Source organism: Homo sapiens, chromosome 9, assembly GCF_000001405.40.
Source record: "Homo sapiens chromosome 9, GRCh38.p14 Primary Assembly".
Taxonomy (NCBI): Eukaryota; Metazoa; Chordata; class Mammalia; order Primates; family Hominidae; genus Homo; species Homo sapiens.
Window position 1 is genome coordinate 35,317,631 of NC_000009.12, and position 25,904 is coordinate 35,343,534.

Here is a 25,904-nt window from a genome sequence, read left to right on the forward strand (position 1 = left end):
TCATGTCTCAGCCTCCCTAGTAGCTGGGACTACAGGCGTGGGCCACCATGCCTGGCTAATTTTTTTTTTTTTTTTTTTTAATTTTTAGTAGAGATGGGGTTTTACCATGTTGGCCAGGCTGGTCTCAAACTCCTGACCTCAAGTGATCCACCTGGCTCAGCCTCCCAAAATGCTGGGATTACAGGCATGAGCCACCACGCCTGGCCTAAACAAGCATTTAAAATGAACATTTATGGAATGAATGTCATAATACTTACTGATTTTTTATTTCTAAGTTTTTTAAAAGTAAGGGTCTTGTAATTCTTCCTATAAAGCAAAGCAAAGTAATTAGCCTTATCCATGTAAAAGGAAAGCTCTGAATTAGAAAAATAAGAATATATTGGAGAAGACACAGTTTAAGTTATGGCCTTTTCTTTTTCAGAAGTATAATAATTCAGTCTCTCAAAAAGACTAGCTGAAAACAGTTGCCAAAGCTTGGAATCATACAGACAGAGGCATGGTTTACCTAAGAGTAACTAAGAACTTAATTGAATAAGAGAACAATAGTAAAGATATTCTTAACACAGGTAAAGTAACTGGCAACTGATTAGAAATGTCCAAGAGGAGAACAAGAAGCCAGAGTTTAAAGAGGGTTCTGATAACAGTTTAAGATTGAAGCAGAAATGTACCATTTGTACTTAAGATGAGATTTAGTAACATATTGGTTGAAGTTATGTGAGAGAAAGAAGTTAAGCACAACACCAAGGATTTTTTTGCCCCGCTGCCGCCCCGCCACCCCAATCACTCCTTCACCCTCCACTCAAGATAATCTTGTTAGTTTCCTATTTATCGTTCTAGAATATCTGTCTACAAGTACAAGCAAATATGAATATACTAATGCTTCTTTACCCGTTTTTATACAAAAGATGGTATATTATACATACCAAGCATTTCTTGATTTTGTATTTGGAGATCCTTCCATATCAGCTCTAAGAAAATTTTTCATTCTTTTTTATAGCTGCGTAATATTCCATTGAATGAAATATTTGTTCTGCAAGTATTTAGTCCTTTGTTGATGTTCATTTGGTTGTTTCCAGTCATTTGCTGTTAACCATGTTACAAATGAATAACCTTGTACATATGTCATTTTGCATGTGTGCAGGTATACCAAGGGGATATGCATTTATAATTTTGATAAATATTGCCAAATTGCCATCCATTTGTCTATGGCTTAAAATAACAAGGGCTTGTTTCTTGCTCGTATTCCACATCAAGGAGTTTTGCTTTAAAGTTGTCTTCTCTCTGCAATCCAGGCTGATGGAGCAACCAACACCTGGAACACTGCCAGTCACAATGGTAAAAGGAAGGGAAAGATAACAAGTGAAAGAAAATATAGCAAGTTGTACTTTGGCTCTTAAAACTTCTACCCAGAAGTTATTAATACATATGTTGCTTTTGCTCATATTTTCCTAGCTAAAGGAAATCATGAAACCAAACTTAACTTTTTAAAAATAATTTCAACTTCTATTAATATTTTAGATACAGAGGGCTGAGTGCAGTGGCTTATGCCTGTAATCCCAGCAGGAGTTTGAGACCAGCCTGGCCAACATGGTGAAACCCTCATCCTTACCAAAAATACAAAAATTAGCCGGGTGTGGTGGTGCATACCTGTAATCCCAGCTACTTGGGAGGCTGAGGCAGGAGAATTGCCTGAACCCGGGAAGCAGAGGTTGCAGTGGGCCAAGCTCATGCCACTGCACTCCAACCTAGGTGACAGAGTGAGACCCTATCTCAAAAAAAAAAAAAAAAAAAAAAAAAAAAAAAAAATTAGATACAGGGGATACCTGTGCAGGTTTGTTACATAGGTATTTTGCATGATGCTGAGATTTGGGGTATAGATCCTGTCACCCATGTAGTGAACATAGTACTCAGGTAGTTTTTCAATCCCTGCCATCTTCCTCCTTCCTCCCTCTAGTAGTCTACAGTGTCTATTGTTCCCATATTTATGAGTACCCAATGTTTAGATGCCACTCATTTTTTAAAACTTTTTTTTTTAATTTTATTTTTTTGAGATGGGGTCTCACTCTGTCACCCAGGCTGGAGTGCACGGGCATGATCACAGCTCACTGCAACCTTAACTCCTGGGCTCAAGCAACCCTTCACCTCAGCCTCCCAAGTAGCTGGGACCACAGGCATGTGCCACTTATGCCCAGCAAATTAAAAAATTCTTGTGTAGAGATAGGGTCTCATTATGTTTCCTAGGCTGGTCTTGAACTCCTGGCCTCAAGCAATCCTCTTGTCTCAGACTCCCAAAGTGCTGGGATTACAGGCATGATTATAGGCCTGGCCCCTAGCTCCCATTTATAAATGAGAATATGCAATATATGGTTTTCTGTTCCTGCATTAATTTGCTTAAAATTATGGCCTCCAACTGCATCCATGTTGTTGCAAAGGACATTTCACTGTTTTTTATGGCTGCATAGTATTCCATGATGCATATGTACCACATTTTCTTTATCCAGTCCACTGTTGATGGGTACCTAGGTTGATTTGATGTCTCTGCTATTGTGAATAATGCTGCGATGAATATATGAGGGTATGTGTTTTTTTGGTAGAACAATTTGTTTTCTTTTCATTATATACCCAGTAATGGGATTGCTGGGTTGAATGCTAGCTCTGTTTTAATTAAAGTGGAGCAGTATGACATACTTTTAAAGAGATAGAGAAGGATATTTGTCAATGGCTTTAATGCCTACCCCCAAAAGTATATGCTTCCCATAGGGAGTGTACCAATTTATACTCCCACTAGTAATGTCTTAAGAGTGGTTTTCTCTTTCCTAACCCATCAGTAATGTATCAAACTTTTGGATTTTCACTTATCTGCTAGGCTCTTTTTGCTATCCTGTTTAGGTGAAATGCTTCCAACATATAGAATTATTTATATTTCAAAAATTCTCAGAGACTTTATATTTGCTGTTTCCCATGCTTAGAATGCTCTTTCTCTTAATTCACTTAGCTAACTTTTCATTCACATCTTTTAAAACCCAGTCAGCTGTCAGTTTTGGGGTAAAGTTTCTAGACTCTTTGCATATTTTTTTCTACTGCATGATGATGTAATGGAGTTACTTGTTTACTGCTATGTCTTACTTTTCTGTGTACTTCTTGTAAGATCCTTTAATGTCAGGCTAAGCTTTTTAAGGCTGATATTCAAGAGCCCAGTATGGAATCTGGCAAAGTGTGTTTAGCTAACCTTTTGTGGATGCTTAACCAGCCAGAGATGCCCCGCATTATTTCCACAGAAGTCTCCATGTGCTTCTTTATCTTCTAATTAATACTATTTTTAATTATTCCCAAGGCCCAGCACTTAAAGTCAATAATAGCAGAATATTAACTATTAACATTAGCTATATTTTCTTATATAAGCTTTATATACATGAACATAAATTTACTGAATTTAGATCATAATATGTGTGGATTTAAACATTTTTTTTCTCACTTTGTTTTTGTGAACTTTATTCTGGGTTATTAAATATTTTTGAAAACATGATTTAATGACTTAATAGATTAATATTCTCTTATATAGGTATTTTATAATATTCCTCTTGTTTCTTTCTTTTCTTTTTTCTTCTTTTCTTTTGAGACAGCGTCTTGCCTGGGCTGGAGTGCAGTGGTACAAGCACAGCTCACTGCAGCCTTGACCTTCCAGGCTCAAGTGATCCTCCCACCTCAGCCTCCCAAGTAGCTGGGACTACAGGCGTGTGCCACCATGCCCGGCTGATTTATTTCTTGTAGAGATGGAGTCTTCCTATGTTGCCCAGCCTGATCTTGAACTCCTGGGCTCAAGCAATTTTCCTGTCTCAACCTCCCAAAATGCTGGGATTACAGGCATGAGCCCTCATACCTGGCTCCTCTTGTTACTATTATGAATAACGCTGTGATGAGCATCATTGTGCATACATCTGTTTTCATTTCTGATTATTTCTTTAACTTAAAATAGATTAAATTACTGAGTTGAAGGGTATAAGTTTTTAAATTTAAATTTTATTTTTTATTTTTAATTTTATTTTTTAAAATAGAGACCAGGTCTCACTACATTGCCTAGGCTGGTCTTGAACTCTTAGCCTCAGGTGATCGTCCTGTCTGGGCCTCCTGCAATGCCATGATTACTGGTATGAGCCATCACACTCGGCTTCAGGGGTATATATATATTTTAAGACTTCTGTCAAACTTCTTAATTTATTTTCAGAAAAGCTTTTCCGGTTTGTACTTTCAGTATTTGAGTGTGCTGTACCAACATTAAGTATTCTTATTTTAGAAAATTTTTGCCAATTTGACAGAAGAATGGTATACCATTGTTTAATTTGCATTTCTTTGATTATCTGTGATTTGAATATATCTCATAAGTTTATAGGTCACTTATACTTCTTCAGCTAATATTACATCAAAGAGACTTTGAGAATCATAGAAACCTAGTTACACTTATGCTATTCCTATAAGATTGTCAGTCACTTGAGGGAAGAGGTTATATAGAGTCATCTCTGTGTCTTCTGGGCTGGCTGAGTACATGGCCATATGTACTTAATAAGTGTTTGATGACATTGCTATTGCTGATGAGGCAGTAATGTTGGTAGTGTGGGTGGGAGTGGATATGAATCTGTACCTTATTTGGCTTAGCTGCAGAAAAATCTGGGGGAGGAGGTGAGACTTTAGCTCTAGAAACGGAGATTGCGGTGGCAGCGGGTGGGTGGGTGTTCCAGGTGGAAGGGACAGTTCAGGAGAAGGCATGGAGATAGGCCAGGAAGAAGGCTTGACAGGAGCTCTTGGGTTGTTGAAGAAAGCTGAGGAAGGAGAGCCTTGGTAAGCAGAGACAGAACAGCAAATAGATGAGAAGGCCTGGGTTTAAATGGAGCAGTCTCAGGAGAGGTAGGATTACAGCTGCCAGCCTGAGAGGTAGATCAGCATTTTCTTAGGGGCGATCATTAAGACAGAGAACGAATCGAAACTCTTCTGCAAAGTTCCGTTCTCACTTGTTACTCCCTCCCAAGAAAAGTGACTTCCTTCTTGTTCTATAATTGAAGCCTCAAAAATGGGTCCCTAGGGGAAAAATAATGAGGCTTAAGGAGAGGGCTTTTGAGAACTGCACCATTCAGACTTTGCACCAGGGAAATACTCTTTCCATAATCTTAAACTCTGGAATTTTTTCTGATCATGTCTGCCTATCTTAACTTCTCAACTCTTTGCCCTCATGGAGACTACCAATTTCCGATCCCTCCTTTTTCTCACAACTTTTCATCCCTCTCCCTAACCATTGCCATTCTAACATTTCTAAAAAAAACTGAAGAATGTTTTGAATAAGTAATAAATGTAAAATATAAAATTGAAAAGGATATTATATATAGATATATATTTATAAATATATAATGCACAGTTTTCCTACTTCAGATTCCCAGGCCCCCTCATCTCCTTTTCCCCCATCTTATTATTTGTGTCTCATGGATCAGTCCAGAGTTAATCCATCCATTTATGAGCATGTGTGTGCCCCAAAACTTGTATGTGTGTATTACACACATTGTCCTACACCTTGCTTTTTTCATTTATTGCTCTATCTCGGAGATTTTTTTCCTTATTAGTATAAATAGAGTTCATACTCTATTAACAGCTGCATAGTTTTTCTGTTAGTATAAATAGGGCTACTGCTTTGTAAATAGTTATATAGTATTTCTTTCTGTAGATGTGTTATAATTTATATACTCTGCCCCCATTGATGGATCTTTAGGTTGTTTCTAATGTAGTTGCAATGCAAATCCTGTACATAAGCCTGAATACTTCAAGACTTATCTTAGCCACAGCTTTTGAGACCCCTCTTCAAACTTCATGGTAAGCCCTACCCAAGAACAGGCCTTACTATTGCTTCACAAACCAGAGTGACCTTCCCTGGCCCTAGCTGCTCCTCTGAATGCTGTGAGACAACCCTTGTTCTCAACAGACTGTTTTCGCCTTCTGAGAAACTGCAGTGCCTTTACCTGATATCTGAGACCAGAACCAACATATTCTCTACCTTCTGACCTTGACTGGACCTGGCTGTTCCTTGAAGCCCTCTTTGGTAGAGACTATGCCTTTTATATGCCCCATGCATTACTGGGTCAGAAGTGAGGTTTGGTTTTCTCTGGCTTCCTCTGCCACTTCCAAGCCATTACTAGATCCTTGCCTAACCTGTTTCTACAGCCACCTTCCTTGTTGCAATTAGATTACAACTTTCCCATAATTCCCCATTTATTCATTGAAAATTTTAGTACCTGCATCACAGTTTTCCTTTTTAATCTCAACTCTTGCCATAATAATAATATCATTATAGTAACCACATTTATTGAATACTACTATGTGTAGGCACTATATCTTTACATGCATTACCTAATGAATTCATAATAATAATTCTGTGAATTAGGCTTATGTTATTAGGCCCACTTTATTGATTAAGCAACTGAGTGTTTAGAAAGATAGAAACTTGTTCAGGATCACCCAGCTAGTAAGATTTAGGACCAGGATTCAAATCTAGATCTATTTAACTTCAGAGCTTGTCTTTTTAACACTAATCTTAGAACCCTACTTTCCAAAGCATGTTCCACAGGACTCCAGTTTCTAGAGTCATTAATAGGTATCATATTATACACGGTTCTATGTCAAAGAAATTTGGGAAACACAGAATTCAACAGAGCACAAAGCCAATAGATTGCCTTATATCTTAGGACTTCTCAGAAACTTCAGTATACTTAGGCTTATTGTGATTCTTTAAGAAGGGAATATAATATGCACAGCTTTATTGCAGACTTATTTGACCATGAAACACTCTTTTAGAGACACATTCTGTGGGACTAGTTTTCCAAGGAATATACTTGAGAAAAGTCTGCGTCAGAGATCCCATTGTCATTTCATTAAAACTGTATTTGTGAAGGTCATCAGTGAGCTCCTAACTGATAACTTAGTGGTTGCTTTTCAGTGTTTATCTTATTGGACCTCTTTGCAGTATTTGACACTTCTGCACAGTCCCTCCTGTTTTGACATCTAAGAAACCATCTCCAACTCTCCTCTTTGATCTGTCTTCAGTCTCTTTTCTGATTTCTCTGTTTGCTCATTTCTTAAATGTTGTTCTTTCCAGAGTTCTTTCCTCAATGCTCTTTTCATATAAATCTATACATTTTTCTTTTGAAATATCATTTATTATGTCACCTATCACCTATATGTGGGTTGCTCTCTTATCCAGCCCAGACCCTAAACCCATATTTCTAACTACTTCTTGGACACTCACTTGTCCCATCAGCATCTCAAATTCAGCTTGTCCCAATCAAAAGACATCACCTCTCTAAAACCTGTTTTACGTCCTGCATTTTGTTCCCATGCTTCCCAAATCAACCCTGAACCCACTAGATGTGATTGGGCTCCTGAGAGATAAGAGAAAGCGAAGACATTCTTTTTAAGATGTAGAAGAATGAGGAGCTGGAGTTTCACTTATCCTCAGAGGGAGAGAAGGATGAGGTAACTATCTTATGCACATAAAAAGTACTCCATAAATATCTGTTGGCAGGATGAATGAACAGGATGTAGAGTAAGGAAGCTTGTCCTTTTGCATTCTGGGCAGTTGAGTTGTGAAGAGGAATGAGGGGGGTTTTCTTGCCTAAAAATCTCTAGAAAAGGAGAGGTCCATACCCATTCTCGCCTATTCTCACTTTTGGTTGAGAAAAAAAATTTTTTTTATTTCCAAATTTTATCTTTTACCAGCTACCCATGGCTCTTCCCTCTGCTTACACAGCTTGCCTCCACTTCCTTTTACTATTCTAAGTGACATAGAGACAAGGATACACTGCCGTTGTACTCTTGCAGCCTTCTCATTCAGCCCTACTTTCATACCATTTCCCCTCAGTGGCTTGACAACAAATTCTTGTTCCTTTGTTTTTAGTAACAAATATTTTTAAATTCAGATATAATTAATATAACATAAAGCCATCTTAAAGTATACAATTAAGTGGTATTTAATATAGTCACTAGATCACACAACCATCACCACTACCTAATTCCAGAACATTTTCATCACCTCAAAAGGAAATCCCATACCCATTAGGGATTACTCCCTATTCCCTTTTCCACCAGCCTGTAGCAACCATGAATTTACTTTCTGTAGATTTGTCTGGACATTTCATACCAATGGATTCCTATCATATGTGGCCTACTGTGTCTGGATTCTTTTATTTAGCTTAATGTTCTTAAGGTTCATCCATGTTGTAGCATGGATCGTTACTTTTGGCTATTATGAATAATGCAGCTGTGAACATTCATGTACAAGTTCTTGTGTGAACATAAGTTTTCAGCTTTTTTGGGTATGCACTTAGGAATGGAACCGCTAGGTCATATGGTAACGTTGTTTAACATTTTGAGAAACCGCCAGACTGTTTTTTAAAGTGGTTGTGCTATTTTACCTTCCCATCAGCAGTGTATGAGGGTTTCATTTTCCCCCCATCTTTGCCAACACTTATTGTCTGTCTTTTTTTATTATAGCCATCCTAGTGGGTGTGAAGTGCTAACTTGTGATTTTGATTTGCATTTCCTTAGTAACTAATGATGTTGAGTATCTTTTCATGTGCTTATTGGCCATTTTTATATCTTCTTTGGAGTTTAGTAGTCTCCTCTTAAACATAGGGGATACATTCCCAGACCCCAAATGGGTACCTGAAACCATGGATAGTACCAAACTTCACATATACTATGTTTTTTCCTATACATACATATGATAAGGTTTAATTTGTTAATTTTAGAGACAGGATCTCACTCTGTCCTGCAGGCTGGAATGCAGTGGTTCACTGCAGCCTTGAATCCTGGGCTCAAGCAGTCCTTCTACCTCAGCTTCCTGAGTAGCTTGGACTATAGGCATGCACCACCACACCTGGCTAAGTTTCTATTTTTTAGTTTTTTGTAGAGACAAGAGCTGTGTTGCCCAGGCTGGTCTTCAACTTCTGGGCTCAAGTGATCCTTATGCCTTGGTCTCCCGAGGCACTGGGATTGCAGGTGTGAACCACTGTGCCCAGCCAATGTTTAATTTATAAATTAGGCACAGTAAGAGATTAACAACATAATAAAATAAAACAATTATAACCATATACTGTAATTAAAGATATGTAAATATGATCTCTCAAAATATTTTATTGTATTGTACAGCAGGTAACTGAAACCACAGAAAGCAAAACAGTGGCTAAGGAGGGACTACCGTAATATCTATTCAAATCCTCCGCTCATTTTTAAATTGGGTTATTTGTCTTTTTGTTGTTGAGTTGTAAGAGTTCTTCACATATTTTGGATAGAAGTCCCTTATCAAACATATGATTTGCAAATATTTTCTCCTACTCCTGTTCCTTTTTAATTTTTTCAAACCTCTTTTGAATTTGCCATGTTTTGCCTTAATTATGCCCTAACTTGCAACCTTTCTTCTCTTTCTCTTGCCTATCTCTGGGGAAATTGGCCACAGCAGCCAAGCCTCTGAAGCAATAAGGAGGAGCTGTTTTTTCTAGGGTGTGGAAGTAGCTTGCCTAGTTGGTCAGTGTATTATTAGGGTTCTCCAGTGGGAGAGAACCAATAGGATATATGTATATATAAAAGGGACTTTATTAAGGAGAATTGGCTTACATGATTACAAGGTGAAGTCCCATGCATGATAGGCTGTCTGCAAGCTGGAGAAAGAGAGGAGCCAGTAGAGGCTCAGTCCAAGTCCAAAAGCCTCAAAACCAGGGAAGCTGACAGTACAGCCTTCAGTCTGCAGCTGAAGACCTAAGGGACCCCAGGAAGCCTCTTGGTGCAAGTCCCAAATAACCTGTTCAAGGGCCGGAGAAGAGGAAGCAAATGTCCACATGGGAAGAAAAAAGAGAGCCAGAAAACTCAGCAAGCAAATTTATTCCACCTTCTTCCACCTGCTTTGTTCTAGCTACACTGGCAGCCAATTAGATTGTGCCCACCCACATTGAGGGTGGGTCTTCCTCTCCCAGTCCACCAACTCAAATTTCTATCTTCTGTGGCAACACCCTCACAACACCCAGAAACAATACTTCCCCAGCCATCTATCTAGGCATCCCTCCAGTCAGGTTGACACCTAATATTAACCATTACCGTCAATGAAAGCATGTTCTGGAGCATTGCAGCCATGAAAGCATGTTCTGGAGCTGCCAGCTCATGTAGCATCCTGATGGTCTCAGTCCCTCCTTTTCTGTTTCTCTAATATACGCATCTAGCTCCGTCCTTGGAATTCAACCATTTAGGTAAAAACTAAAGTTGTCAGTAGAAAGGAATTCAAAAGATGAAGCTAAGTAGATGACAACAGTGATTTCTTTAGGAATAAAGCTTCAAATTTTCTTTTCTTTTTCTTTTACTTTTTCTTCTTTTCTTTTTCGAGACTGAGTCTCACTCTGTTGCCCAGGCTGTAGTGCAGTGGCTCGATCTCAGCTCACTGCAACCTCTGCCTCCCAGGTTCAAGCAATTCTCCTGCCTCAGCCTCCCGAGTAGCTGGGACTACAGGCATGTGCCAACATGCCCAGCTAATTTTTTTTGTATTTTTAGTAGAGATGGGGTTTGACCGTGTTGGCCAGGCTGGTCTCGAATTCCTGACCTCAGGTGATCCTCCCACCTTGACCTACCAAAGTGCTGGGATTACAGGCGTGAGCCACCATGCCCAGCCTAAATTTTCTTTTAAACATGAGCAAAGTCCCTCCACCTCTCCCACCTCTATTGACACTGAAAAGAGCAGAGCTGCCAGAAGGATTCATGTGGTTCTCCTGCTTCTGTTCTCCATATCTGCTAAGCAGCAGCCCAGAGTAGGGATGAAAGCTGAGACTGGTCTAGTTCTCATTCTCCAAAGCCACCAACTGAGATGATCCTTCCACTGTATTCCAAAGTTTCCCTACAAAGGAAAGGAAAAAACCAGAGTGCCTGGCTTCTGGTTCTGAATTGTCCCCTTCCTTCCTTCCTTCCTTCCTTCCTTCCTTCCTTCCTTCCTTCCTTCCTTCCTTCCTTCCTTCCTCCCTCCCTTCCTTCCCTTCCCTTTCTTCCTCCCTTCCTTCCCTTTCTTCCCTTCCTTCTGTTCCTTCCTTTCCTTCTTTTCTTTTCCTTTCTTTTCCTTCCCTTTCCCTTTCCTTTCTTTTTGACAGAGTCTGGCTCTGTCGCCCAGGCTGGAGTGCAGTAGTGTGATCTCTGCTCACTGCAAGCTCCGCCTCCTGGGTTCACGCCATTCTCCTGCCTCAGCCTCCCGAGTAGCTGGGACTACAGGCGCCTGCCACCATGCCTGGCTAATTTTTTTTTTGTATTTTTAGTAGAGATGGGGTTTCACTGTGTTAGCTAAGATGGTCTCGATCTCCTGACCTTGTGATCCGCCCACCTCGGCCTCCCAAAGTGCTGGGATTACATGCGTGAGCCACCTCGCCCAGCCCCGAATTGTCCCCTTTCTTCCCTTGCCTTTTAAATATCTGATACCACTGAGTTCCTGATTTCACCTTTTCCTCCTCTCATGGGCTGAGTTTGTTCCCATTCCCACCCCAAAGTTCATAATGTTGAAGTCTTAACCTTCCCCAGGGGTTGGATACCTAACCCCAGGTATCTTAGAATGTGACATTATTTGGAGATAGGGTCGTTAAGTGGGTAATTAATATAAACTGAAGTCATATGGGTGGGCTTTACTCCATTATGACTAATGTCCTTGGAAGAAGAAGAAATGAGGACACAGACACAGAGAGGAAAGACCATTTGAAGGCAGAGAAGATGGCCATTGACAAGCCAAGGAAAGAGGCCTTGGGAGAAATCAACCTTCTTGGCATCTTGATCTTGGATTTCTAATATCCAGCATTGTGAGATTTTTTTTTTTTTTGAGATAGGGTCTCACTCTGTTGCCCAGGCTGGAGTGCAGTGGTGCGATCTTGGCTCACTACAGCCTCCACCTCCTAGGCTCAAGTGGTCCTCCCATCCCAGCCTCCCTAGTAGCTGGGACCACAGGTACATGCCACTATGCCCAGCTAATTTTTTATATTTTTTGTGGAGATGGGGTTTCTCTATGTTGCCCAGGCTGGTCTCGAACTCCCAAGCTCAAACAATCTGCCCCCCTTGGCCTCCCAAAGTGCTGGGATTACACCACGCCTGGTCAAAAATAAATTTTAGTTGGTTAAGCCACCCAGACTGTTCTACTTTGTTTTGGCAGCCCTAGAAAACTAATATACCTCCCATGGCAGAAGAGGGAAGAGGGTGGCACAAGCCTCAGTATTTCTCGCCTGTCAATATTTGTTTCCTGAGGTCCACTTGGAGAGAAATAGGGTTTCCAGACTGGTAGACACAGAGCCCAAGAGCCCATTCACAATATTGTGTCTTTTGTATCCGTTTACTGTTAAATTGTTACTAACAAAATTTAGGGCTGGATAGAAATGCCGAGAACTGGGTTTTTGTATTAGCTCACCCTTAAAATCTGAAATAACTAACAAATTCATATTTGTTGTTCTTCTCAGTTATAAAATTAGGGATAGCGACTTGTTCTCTCTCACAGGATTTTGGTGAGATCACAGAAAAATGCATTTTTGAGTACAAAGCTCTACAAGCATTTGCTTAAAAGTCTCTAGCCAGCCTCCTAGTACTTTCCAGAACTGTTGGCTTTTAGGGATCTGTCATGACCTTTCTAGCCTAGACCTGAGGCAACTGAATGACCCATCAAAGGTCATTGCTGACCATGGCTGGAACCTTTGCTGCTAAGTGAGGATCCATTGACACTGCTGTTTTTTTGGCTGATGTGGCAATGAGCCAATGCCATAGGATTTCAGGCTGTTATAGGGATCTAGGCCACCAGGTCTCCCCTGTGGTAACAGGGTTGCTAGGGTAACTTATCTATGGATGACTCCAATGAGGCTATTTGGTATGTTAGTGCTTCTCTGGGACCACCAAAGAAGAGGAAGAAGTCAACGGAAGCCAAAGGCTGACCTGTGCAATGTGGGAACATTTTCAAAGAGCAGCTTTCATGCACTTGTCAGTAGCAATACGGATGTTTTTTGTTTGTTTTACCTCTGAAATATTCTGGACACATTTATGGCCTGGATCTGGATGTTCATCAATGGTGGATCTTCTATAAACCTTCTAGTTCTGGGCTGTGACTGAGCCTGGTGAATTATAGGATGTCACACCTGGACTGAGATTTGGGGCAGTGGATCATTTGGAAGGGTGGATTTGGCTCTGGTTTCCAAGGAGCACATAGAACATTTCCAAGGGATGCCATAATGTCATCAACCTGTCCAGAGTTAGAGAAAAGGGTATCAGATACTGGCTGCGGGCCTTAGCTCCAAATGGTAGGTATTTTCTGGGCATAGTATCAATAAAGGGAGGTACATAGTTAACTCTTATGGAATAAGTCAGATTCCTCTACAAAATTACTTGCTTCCAAGTAATAAGCAAAGCATCCTTTCTCACTCTTTACCACCACCTTCTCTGATTCCTGCTGCTTATTTGACCATCCAACCAATGAGAATATTCATTGCTGGCTGTTCCTCTGTGAAAAAACATCCTTTTGCCAAAGTTATCCAAAATGAAGCAACTTAAGTAATTATTCAGGGTTTTTTGTTTTGTTTTGTTTTTTCGTTTTCTTTTGTTTTTTGAGACAAGGTCTCGCTCTGTCACCCAGGCTGCAGTGTAGTGGCGTGATCTCGGCTGACTGCAACCTCTGCCTCCAGATTCAAGCGATTCTTGTGCCTTAGCCTCCCATGTAGCTGGGATTACAGGAGTGCATCACCACACCCGGCTAAATTTGTATTTTTAATAGAGATGGGGTTTCGCCATCTTGGCCAGGCTGGTCTTGAACTCCTGGCCTCAAGCGATCTGCCTGCCTTGGCCTCCTAAAGTGCTGGTATTACAGGCATGTGCCACTGTGCCCAGCACTTTTTCAGTTTTAAATCAAGCCCCTAATAAGTGGGTACTGCTGGGTACTGTTGGGACTATTTGTAAGACATTTTCCTATTCTCCAAGAGCTTATAGGCCAGAGGGGAGGTAGAAATAATTAACAGTTAAGTATTTAAATACTTTTTTCTCTCAGTCACTTTTTCCTCATTCTTACTTTCTGTGCAGCATTCCATAGTGTTTTTAAAACTCCCTTTTTTCGTTTCCTATTTTCTTCTATTATTCTTAGATTCTCCCAATTCTCTTCCTTCCTTAGCTCCTGCCTCATTTCTTTCTACAGTCTTCCCTCAAGCATCACTTTTAATCTCAAAACTGCATCTCTTCAGCCTCTAATCAAGAATCTTTAATTAAGCAACTACTCTATGGAAGGTAATGTGCTTGGTCCTACCTACTGTGATAGGTAACCAGTAGGCTTCCAACTAGCCTTTTTTTTTTTTGAACGGAGTCTTGCTCTTGCCCAGGCTGGAGTGCAATGGTGCGATCTCAGCTCACTGCAACCTCCACCTACCAGGATCAAGCAATTCTCCTGCCTTAGCCTCCCAAGTAGCTGGGACTACAGGCATGAGCCACCACGTCTGGCTAATTTGTTTTGTATTTTTAGTACAGATGGGGATTCACCAATAATCCACCCGCCTCGGCCTCCCAAAGTGCCAGGGTTACAGGCTTGAGCCACTGCACCCAGCCTCCCAACTAGCCTTTGTAAGCAGATGTTCCCAAATCTAAACCTTCCCTTTTTCCTTAGGCTCTATTCTTCCTGTCTAGTTATCTACTAGTTATTTTCACTATAATTTCCCAATGTTTAAAACTTCCCTCTTGAGCCTATTCCTTTTCCTTTGTTCTCTATTTATATTAAAGTTACCATCATTCTACTAGTCACCCACTCAAAATCACGGTGTCACTTTTTATTCTTCCTTCTCTCTTGCCTCCCACTTAGATCATTTGCCAGCTCTTGCTCTTCTTTTCTTTGTGGTTTCTTTTACCAGTCTCTGTCTCTTCTCTGTTTCCCTTTGTGTTCGGGTTCTCTTTATTTGCTTAGACTATAGTATTAGTCTTCTAATGGTTTCCTTGCTTTTATTTTCTTAGAAGCCATTTTATGTATTACTGCCAGATTTATCTTTCTGAAATAGAGCTCGAGTCATGGCTACCATTTATACCAAGGGCTCAACTTGGATGTCACATTCTTTGAAGCCTTTCCCAAAGTGCCCAGGCCAAGTTAGAGTCTCATCTTTTATCTTTCTATAGCATTTCATATATAATCAACTTTGATGTTAATCACATTGTCCTGGAATTATGTGAGCATTTGCCCTCAAGATTATATATTTCTTAAAATAATATATTTTGTATGATTCTTTTTGTATTAAGTTCAAAAACAGGAAAAAGTAACCTGTGGTGTCAGACATCAGGATAGTGATTACCTTTGGGGGATGGAATTTGTAGTGATTAGATATGAGCACAGGAGGCTTCTGGAGTTCTGGTTATATTGTTTTCTTGATCTAGATTCTGTTTACATGGATGTAAAAGTACACTTTTGACTTGTTTATGTTATAATTATAATGTATATTATCATTCAATAAAAAGTTTAAATAAAAGCTAAATGAAAAATAGCATTAAAATACAGAGTAGAGAAAATGTCTGACTTTATATCCCTGATGCCTGGCACCCACTAAACTCTTTGCAGATGAGTGAGTGAGTGAGTGAATAGAGAAGTGAATGAAAGTTTATCCTCAAAAAAATTAATTTTTCTTTACATTGGTAATTAAATTATAGTCTCAACAGAGCCTGAGTTCTCCACCACTTACGGCCTGTGTAACCTTAGGCTTAGGCAAGTTACCCAGCCCTTTGGAAACATAATTTTTTCATCTCTGAATATCATAGTTGCCTCAGTGGATGAATAAGGGTTTAATAATATCATACATGTAGAGCAGGGCATGGTGTGTTGTTAGCATTCAGTAAATGTTAATATCCTTTTCTTTCCAACGCCTTCCTCCTTCTCCCTTTCATCTCTTTACCCATCCTCTATCCTCTGCCTTAAATATCCTTTCCTTTTAGTTTCCACATATCCAAATATTATCCATTCTTTGGATCAATCTCAGATATCATGCTCTTCACAGAGCCTTCTCTGACTCACATCCAAACCAGTGTTTCTAATGCTGGAAATATTTCCCTCTCTCAAATTCTTGTACATTTTATCTGTGTCCCTTATGATACATATTAGTCACTCACTCCAACCTTTAGGAGTTGCTGAAGGCTGCCGTCTGACTTCAGGCCCAAAGAAGAATAAGCACTGTAATTGGGCTAATATGCTGGAGGCAGGAGCTCTGTCATTTGGAACAAACTTGGGAATGAAAAGTCAGGTTGAGAAAACTGCTTTGGGCTTTTCATATTCATTTTTTTGTTTGTTTTTTTTTTTGTTTTTTGAGACGGAGTCTTGCTCTTGTCACCCAGGCTGGAGTGCAGTGGTGTGATCTTGGCTTACTGCAACCTCCTCCTCCCTGGTTCAAGTGATTCTCCTGCCTCAGCCTCCCAAGTAGCTGGGATTACAGGTGCCCACCACCATAACTGGCTAACTTTTATATTTTTAGTAGAGACAGGGTTTTACCATGTTGGCCAGGCTGGTCTTGAACTCCTGACCTCAGGTGATCTGCCCGCTCTGGCCTCCCAAAGTGCTGGGATTGCAGGCGTGAGCCACTGCACCTAGCCCTGATATTCATTTTTGTACCTCCCCTTACACTTGGAGAAATTCAGATGTCTATTAAAAAATATGGGCCCAGGGGCTAAAGTTTAAGTTGCAGACTGTTTGACCTGCCTTTTGAAATGGTTAAAAACCTCTTCTGCTAAAGACGTCTTTTGGCCCAGCTTGGCTTATCAAGGTAAAAGGCCATGCAGATGTTTGAGTCTCAAGTCTTAGGAATTAAGAGTAGACATTCACCTGGAGTATCTTCTCTGCCTAATATCCCTAGTGCATGTAGGTAGAAAAACAGTTCAGGGAAGACCCCATTCCTGGCCACTTATTTTCTTATTATTTTGGCTTTCTACGTGTATTTTCCTTGCATACTTACAGGCTTTAAATCCTTTGCTAGATTGCTCTTGAGGTCAAGAACTGATCACCAATTCTTAGCATCAATTCCTCCTGATACTTAGTAAAAACTCAGCAAAGATTTATGGAATGAACACTTAAAAATATTAGGTGGCCGGGCGCGGTGGCTCACGCCTGTAATCCCAGCACTTTGGGAGGCTGAGGCGAGTGGATCACCTGAGGTCAGGAGTTCCAGACCAGCCTGGCCAACATGGCGAAACCCCCATCTCTACTAAAAGTACAAAAATTATCCGGGCTTGGTGGCGGGCACCTGTAATCCCAGCTACTCAGGAGGCTGAGAGAGGAGAATCACTTGAACCCGGGAGGTGGAGGTTGCAGTGAGCCGAGATCGCGCCACTGCATTCCAGCTGGGTGACAAGAGTGAGACTCCGTCTCAAAACAAATAAAAAATTAAAAAAATTAAGTGGTATTACACGGCCCTAAGTAACTGATTGCAAAAGAAATAATTAAGTCTTTTAACTGAAAATAGTTGCCACAGGACTTTAAGGAACAAGCCCTTTGGATTAGGGTGATCAGAGAAGTCTTCTCAGAGGAATTCCCAGAGAATACTAAGTTAGCAGTTAAGTATCAGGAAATGGCCAAGAAATAAAATAACATGAGCTTCTAAAGATGGAAATCAAGGGATAACTTGCTTCCTGTGTTTGCAAGCATATGCCATGGGGGAGATCCATGGCCTCTTGCAAGTGGCATGTTGCATTCTTCCTGTGGACAATGCAGCTGCTATTTACCACTATGCCCTGAAGTACAGTCATATTGTAAGACTTCAGTAAACTTCCTGAAGCCAAAGGGAAAGAGGTAAGTTGTAGCCCATTCTTTAAGCTGCTTCTTCTCTTTGCTGGTTGTCACCTTCAAGCATGCTAAGGAAATGTGTTTATTCAGTCCTCACCTGAGAACACTCAGACTTAAACAGCCAAAGAAGACAAGTTAGGAAGATCATTTTAGATGAAAACCAACCTCCTGGAGCATTTGTTAACGACAGATGAGATAAAACTGTTGACTGATTTCTCTCTAAAATATTCTTCCTTCTTGGCCTTTTTTTTTTTTTTTAAAGGGGTCTTGGTCTGTCACTCAAGCTGGAGTGCAGTGGCACAATCACGGCTCACTGTAACCTCGAACTCCTGGGCTCAGGCAGACCTCCTGCTTCAGCCTCCAAGTAGCTGGGATTAGAATAGCTAGGACTACAAGGATGTGCCACCAGACCTGGCTAATTTTTAAATTTTTCTTGTAGAGATGGGGGTCCCCCTATGTTGCCCAGGCTGGTCTTGAACTCCTGGCCTCAGTCCTTCTACTTCAGCCTCCATAAGTGGTGGGATTACAGGCCTGAGTCACTGCGCCTGGCCCCATCTTTGATTTCTTCATAGCATTTCTCTTTCTCTGCTTGCCCCTTAAAACTTGATAATTCCCAGGCTTTGTTTTCTACCTCATTTTCTTTTCTAGTTAATCTCATCCATGTCCTAACCTGTAACTGATAAATCCCAAATTACTATCTCTACCTCAGTCCTCTTTCATGAGTTCCAGACTTTTTTATCCAGCTTCCTGTGGATATTGTCACCTGAATGTTCATAGCCACTTCATACAATGTGTTCAAACCGTACTTACCATCTTTTTTTTCTCCTCCACTTCCTCTTCTATATATCCTTTCTTACTACCCCGTCAAACATAAAATCTAACACTCCTCTCCCTCAGAATATATAACATGGGTATAACAATGCCTCTTGCTTTAACATTTCCCCCGTTAGGTTATGAACTTCTTAAGGGCAAGGATTGTATCTTTTCATTACGCCTGTTAACAAGATGTTGTTACTTAATAGGTGTTCATTTATTTTTTGTTTTTTATTTATTTTATTTTTTCGAGAAAGAGTCTCGCTCTGTCACCCAGGTTGAAGTGCAGTGGTGTGATCATGGCTCACTGCTGCCTTGACGCCCTGGGCTTAGGATATCTTAGGTTATCTTCCCACCTCAGCTTCCCAAGTAGCTGGTGGAAGGGGCAAAAGAACTCCTGTGGGCCTCTTTTATAAAGGCACTAATCCCATTCATTAGGGCTCTGCCTTCATGATCTGTTCACCTCCCCAAAGGCTCACCTCCTAATGTCATCACCTTGAGGGTTAGGATTTTAACATATGAATTTTGGAGTGACACAGACGTTCAGGCAATTCAACCCATTACAGGTACCAAAGTAGTTTTTCATGTTTATTTACAAGTCTTATCTTCTGACAAAGCACTTGAAAAGGTTCCTACCTTCTCACCATCCTGATGTTTACTCTCTGATGGCACTCTACATAGGGCCATCTGGAAACAGAAAGGATGAGATGGCACATTAAGTGAGTGCAAGGGGTTTGCTTTGACTAAAGTTAGGGTGTTGGGAAGCCAAATTCCTCTAGACATGGGCAGGTCAAGAAAGAACTTTGATAACATGTAAAGAACTAGGACTTTTTTTTTTTTCACAGTCACTGACGGATTTTAAGAAAATGAGTGACAAAAACTTATGTACATCTTAGAAATATCCCCCTAGCAAATTGTGCATCACGGATCAAGGGTAAAGAGGAGTGAGTGGGAGGTGGTTCTGGAGGAATGGAGTCTAGGGAGAATGAATATTTTGCAGTAGTTGAAGTGAGAAATAAGCCTGGACTAAAGATTGCAGAGGAGACACTGATAGATAAGAAGGTAAAATAGATTATGGCAGAGGCACAAAGGGCTTTGCAGGGGCTTCTCTCACTGGGTAAAGAATTAGAATATATGGATTCCAATGATCCAGTATCTGAGCAGAGAAGTCATCTCTGCATGGGTTGATATGGGTGAGCTGGCAGCCTAGTCCTCTAAACACGTAGTTCTCTCTTCAGACTTACCTAGTTGAGTGCTTCCCTTTCTTTCCACCATGCTTCCCTCTTACTGTCAGAGATCCCCAGTGAAGGATACGCCTTCATTAAGTCTTCTTTTCCCCTTTGTACATTAGCTACCTTCCTGTAATTCAGTACCTCATATCAGATACTTTTGAATATTTGGAGAATCCTGTAGGGAAAAACCCACCTCTTTGGGATCCCTTCATTGAATGTGAAGACACTTGAAACTCATCTGCTGGTTAGGGACATATTTCCACAAGACTATAGAAACAGGGGCCTAAGCCAGGAGAATTCTCCAGATTTGGGTTTGCCCTATATCTTATTCTTAGATGTATCTTAGAACAAGCCATAAAGAACTGAGGGGATATTTGATCAATATTAACCCAGTTAGTCTCCACTTAGTACAAGAGGTTCATTTCTCCCTGGGATGTCAAATTTTGGATTCCTTTTAGAGGATCCTCGGTATATGGCCTCTTTGTTTCCTTTGGGTATAGAGATTGAGGCAGGGCCAATGCACTCTGTGGCTTGGGCTGGGATATATATATAAACAAATACTACTTTAGGACCGGCATTAGTCCTAAATCTGGGAGCTGTGACTTTTGATCGGGTTTATGTGAGAGGGCAGTAGACATATAGGTTTCTTATGATCATGAATTGTTAATTATTTGGTCCTGAAATAGATAGGGGGCCACAGCCTTTGGAGGTACAGGCTGAAAACCTAACTGGTTAGCTGGCCAGTTCCAAGAAGTTTATCAGCTCCTTATGTTCAAGTTTCTGCTAATCAGGGATGGTCCTTGACCTGATTGTAGGACTAAGACTTGTCAGCAATTTATGACTCTTAGGGCCTGCCTTGCAGCTTGTCGGGTCTGTTTAGGTAACAAAGCAGCTATGTCTTAGTGCATCAGTAAAGTCAGCACATCTCTGCCAGGCTTGTCACTCCCCTAGGATGGCATGCTCCTCAGGGAAGGAGCAGGATTACCTCCTGCTGCCCGTCATTCTCTGCTGCATATGCTTTCTCCATGGTGTAGGGAGGGCATCATTCTACAGCGGGAAAAATGACTTTTCTTAGCCACCAGAAAAATCATCTTCCTCATGAAATAAATCCCAGCTGTGTGACTATATGTCAGCTTTTTCATGTTGCTTCTGGCTTTCCTCAGCAGTAGAGAAGGAAAACAGTCACAAGCTGACTCTTGCATGATATAGATATTGGCCGCACCCATCCTTTGTACTCTGCGTCTGTGTTGATATTGGACAATAAGGTAAGCACCTGCTGGTCCTGACCCAGCCTGTCTCTGGCATTGACACCTGAAAAGGCAGGCCAGGTTTGGAGCAGGCATATTCTTTGCTTCTAGACCAGTTGTATCTGACGTCAGGGAGACTTAGACTGGTTTGTATGAGTAGGGAGAATTGTGATTGGTGAGGCCCTCCTCCAGTATTTCTGTGACACCACTCAGTTGCTTTAGCTGAAGATGAATTTTGTATGCCAGGTGGTTTTCTGACTAACCCACCCATTCGGCTCCCCTTTAGAACTCCTGCAGGTCTGAACCTTCCCACAACTCTGCGTGAGTGTCAGTGTATCATGTTGAGTTTCCATCTTGACTCATCTGTCTCTAGGCGAAGATCCCTGCAAGGATTTAAATTGGGAACCAGACCTTGAGAATGTCTGTTCAGAGCATTTCACAGCTTCTGGATAAATGCCTTTTCCTTCTTAACCCAATCTGTTTTTCCAGTTCTGCCCAGCTAGCTCCTGAGCAGCCTACTTTGAGGAAGCTTCCCAACTGAGGTGGGTGCTGTGCTATTTCTTACCTCTAAAAAGCACCCCATCCTTTCGGCCTACTCAGGCTTCCCCAGGGCCAGATCCACTGTGATGAGGGGGCTGCATTGTTGCCCATGTGGCTCACAAAACAAATTGCCTGCTTGTCCCAAAGAGCTAGTCCACTGAGGAGTCCTGATGTCCTTTGGCCATGTGGTGTCTGGCACTCTGTGGGCCCTGTAGAACAGTGGCAGAAGGGGCCATGCTCTTTTACAAGAGCTTCCACTGACTGTTTGCCACTTCCCCACTTACTCTGTTTCTTGCTTTTGCTGGAACATGGGAAGGTGGATAGATACAAAGGTAATTTGTGGTCAAAGCTGCATGAGCTCTCCTGTGAAGTTTGAAGATTGTAACTGGAGATGGCAGATTTGTTGTGCCTCATGTGCTAACCACGTCTTCTACTGCCTGAGCCTTTGTTTTTCTGGAAAGCCCAAGCTGCTTAGAAAAATGGGCTGGATGTGTTTGGGTGACAAGACAGGGTGGGTTCCATTAGCCTCAGAAATGCCATCTGGAGGCCTTAGCCAGGCCTTAGGGCCACTTTGTCAATTAGGCAGGAAGAAGTAGGTTCTTTTAGCAGGGTCCTACCTCTGGGGAATCTTTCCCACTCTTGAAAGTTTGAGCTTCTCCTTAGCCTAGGAAGCCTGACCAAACCTGATAGTGACAGCCACTGTTCTGGGCTCTTTATGAGTGGCTGCAGATTTGGGGGAGGGAATTCTAATTTAATCAATCTTCCCTATATTTCTTGTTTTAAACCTTTTACCTCCTTCTCCTGGCTGAAGGATGGGAAACTCCACAGTAAATTGGCTGTGACTTCCACAGAAACTTGACAGTTTTCAAGTTATTTTTTTCCTCTGTGTTTAGATGCGGTTATAGTTGTGCTGTCAGGCCTTATCTCTTCTGTCATCTAGCCAGCTCCCAACTAGGTTAGGAGGTATGTGCTCTGCTGTTAGTGTTGGCTGTGTAATGAGGTGGATGGCTAAGAAATGGGTTGTTTAGCATCTCTTGGAATCTAAATTTTCTTCCTTGGTTGAGGGGGAAGCAATGTTATTGGAAGAAGGCAGTAGGGAGGCACATGTTGGCTCTGAAATCAACCCTTTCTTCTCAGGATCTTGGATAAGCCAAACAAATCATTCTTAATTTAAATGCTTGTTTTATCTACCATAAAGGGCTGCCTGTTCTGCAATGGCAGATCCTAGGATGGTCCCCATAGACTGACTACCTGGTTTGTGGGCTAAAGAGGCCATACTCTGTTGTGGATTGCCATGAGGAATGTTGCAGGGCAGCAGAAGTCACAAGGTTTGAGAGCCTGGTTTGGGCATGCTGGGTAAATCAAACTTGCCCACGTACTGTTGGCCTAAGGAGGAAGAGGGCCTTTTCTCTTAAGATCAAGCTCAGGGGAGTCAGAAGAGGAATGACTTCACTGGATTGTTACTGGCTGATCGAGCTCTATATTGAGAAGGATTCTGAGGTTATCTAGGTTCATTATGCGATGTTTTTCATGTCCTATGGTTGCAGAGTGGAAAGGGGATATCACATTTCATGTATTTGGCATTTTATGCTACAGAGCTTCAAGGGGTCCTGGCTTGTGCTCGGACATTATGTTGCAGTGAACAACTTGAGTGTTCTTTGAAGATAAGGACATTCAATTTCCCAGTGAGTCCTAACTAGAATTGTTGAATTATTAGGAATTAGGGTCACATGAGAGCCACCTGGCTAGTGAGTCTCCAGGGAGATAGGGCATCCATTGGCAAAGAAGGGTTATGAAATTTGGGGTCATAAAAGGGGCCCTGAACCTTAGGCAGCTTTTTGGTCATGGTGATATCACTTTAGGTTACTTCGTTCCTAATTCTGGATTCTGAAACCATCTTTGGTCTAGACTTCTGCAATACAGAGTTCATCTCAGCTCACCTAACTTCCCCTCCTTCTCTCGGGTTGTTGCTTTGGCATAGCCTGAGGGAGCTCTTATTTTCCAGTTGATTCTCTTGTGGTGGTTGTTCAGTAAGAACTGGAATAGATGTCTACTCCAAGAACATGGCACTGTTTGATTTTAACTGCACTTGATCACTGTACCTATCCTTCAGCTTTGCCAAATGCTGACAACAGATTATATATACACGAAACCAACCAACCAACCAACTTAGAGCTTGTCTCAGTAGAAGGGAAGACTCCCTTTGTATTGTGCTCCAGCAGTTCCACGGCTGGCATGCTGTGTTCCGGCTTCCCTCTGAGACTAGGAGCTCCTGAAAGTATAGGTCTCCATCTGTGTCTGTTTATATCCTATAGCCCAGATGTGAGAGAGGTGGATAGGGGAAAAGAAAGCAGGGAGGAGAAGAACGAGGGAAGGAAATGGAGGAGGGGAGAGAGTAAGATCTATATTTAGCAAAAGGGAGAGACACTTACCAAGGGTGTGTGAGTGAGCTTGCTGGCAAGGGTTGTGTGTGCGTGAGTGTGCTGGGAAGGGGGTGTGTGCGCCAGGAACGTGTGAGGAGGGCTGGTGCCCTATGGGAGGTTGCAGGCAGGAAGCAGCTGGAGAGGAGGAGGAGCAGCAGCAGGAGCAGGAGCTGCCCTGCTTTCTGCCTCAGTCTCAAAGCCCAGAATCGATTGAGTTAGAATTCCACATCCAGTTGAAGTTTGGCTGCTGTTGCCTTCAGCAGGCTGATCTCAGAATCCCCCTTGCCAGAGAGGTGTGGACCAGGTTAGATTTCTACGTTTGCAGCCAGTGAGACTCCTGCCAAGCCCTTCACTGAGGGGTTTTTTTGCAGGGCATTGTTTCTGTCATCAACTTTGTGCCGTGGAGCCAGCCAGCTGGGTGCAACTGAGAATATTAGCTCCTTGGGTCTGTTTGTCGGTTGGGCAAGCAGTGGTGCTTTGGCTCAGAAAGTTCGTCCTGTGGCTTCTCTGTCAAACCAAGGAGTGCTCCTGGATGGATTTCCTCTTAAAGACAGCATTTGCCTTCTAAAACTTGAGAATTCATGGTTTTAATTTTTTTTTTTAATTTCCTTAACCCTTATTTTGGTTGCAGCAGCAAGGTAAGTGGTACCGAGTGTGTATGACTGACTGAACAACAAGCAGGGCAAAAGGAAAGCATTTGTGGGTGGAATATGGAGCAGCTACATTAATTACGTAATTGCTTGAGTCAACTTGCTGGTGAGGGGGGTCATTATAATGAGTGAAAAGTAGCATATGCCGCACTGGGGTAGAATCTTCACATGCATGTATTTGTGTGCTGATAATCTGACCATCCATTCCTCTGTGGTACTTTCCTGTATGTATATAGATAACCCAGCCACCCTCTGGATGTGTGCATATTCATATACAAATAATCTGTTTCTCCTTTTTCATGTGTCCATATGTGTTTATGAATAAATGACCTGTCCATTCCTCTCCTGCATGTGCATATGTATAGACAACTCATTCATCCAGCTTGCATATATGAATATGCAAAATTCGTCTCTCCCTACTTGCACATACATATATAATCCATCCCTTCATCTCCTATGTGTATGCATGTACTCAAGTAACCTTTCTGTTCTTGAATATATTCTGTATCATTTCCACCCTTCCTGTATGTGTATATGTGAGAGAGAGAGAAAGAGAGAGAGAGACAGAGAGAAAGAGAAAAAACCACCATCCTAATGTATTAATTCATCCCTTTCATGTGTGTATATGCCATATAAACAGAAAAGTCATCTTGAGTTTTCTCAGTCTTGAATATATGCACACATGCGCAATAGACAGTCTGTCCACTTGTGTCTTGCATGTATGAAGAAAGAGCACTAACTTTGCAGATTGAAGACTCACTTTTAAATCCTAGCTATACTCAGTGACCTTGGTCAAGTCATTTAGCCTCTCTGAGCTTCATTTTTCTCATCTATGAAATCAGTATAATCAGAACAGTAACAACAAACCTCCTGCCTCACAGGGTTGTTGTGATGATAAAATAGGAATCATATAAACTGAAAATTCTAAACAAATATAATCTCTTACTACTGTGTGTCCCTCTAGTATGAGTTGGATAGGATAGCGTACTCTTGGTCCAGTTTTATTGAAATTATGTTCTTGTCTGTGAGAGGTTTCTAAGTTTTCCATGTGAAGGGGAAGCATCTATTGAGGTAACCAGGTTTATCCTGTGGTTTTCTGCAGAGTATTGGAAAGAAGCGGGGTACCGTGAAAGGGTCAGGTGGAGAGGGAGAAAAGCTCTCATCTTCTGTAGGCTGGG

General features: G+C 41.5%; 1 protein-coding gene across 16 annotated transcripts in view, besides 2 other annotated features; it reads left to right on the forward strand.

The window, feature by feature from the left end:
• Positions 1-25,904, forward strand: part of UNC13B (unc-13 homolog B) — a 243,327-nt gene that overhangs the window by 155,622 nt on the left and 61,801 nt on the right. For 5 of the 16 annotated variants that reach the window (NM_001371187.2, NM_001387555.1, XM_011517686.3 and 2 more), the window contains exon 1: positions 24,266-24,714. The exons of the other annotated variants lie outside the window; for them this stretch is intronic. Coding sequence is in view for 3 of the 5 variants with exons in the window: in XM_011517686.3 (XP_011515988.1) it covers positions 24,658-24,714 (57 nt within the window). In the remaining 2 variants the exon portion in view is untranslated. Of the gene's footprint in view, positions 1-24,265; positions 24,715-25,904 lie in introns of those variants that run through there. 16 annotated transcript variants of the gene reach the window in all.
• Positions 9,688-10,887: an enhancer, noted in NCBI's record as "BRD4-independent group 4 enhancer chr9:35327315-35328514 (GRCh37/hg19 assembly coordinates)". NCBI's record gives its function as "activates an origin of replication core promoter dependent on BRD2, P300/CBP, MED14 and CDK7 cofactors, and independent of BRD4, by STARR-seq in HCT116 cells {active_cell/tissue: HCT116}" and the evidence as "EXISTENCE:reporter gene assay evidence [ECO:0000049][PMID:35650434]".
• Positions 17,602-17,896: a silencer, noted in NCBI's record as "tiled region #14419; HepG2 Repressive non-DNase unmatched - State 23:Low". NCBI's record gives its function as "represses a minimal TATA promoter and a strong SV40 promoter by Sharpr-MPRA in HepG2 cells {active_cell/tissue: HepG2}" and the evidence as "EXISTENCE:reporter gene assay evidence [ECO:0000049][PMID:27701403]".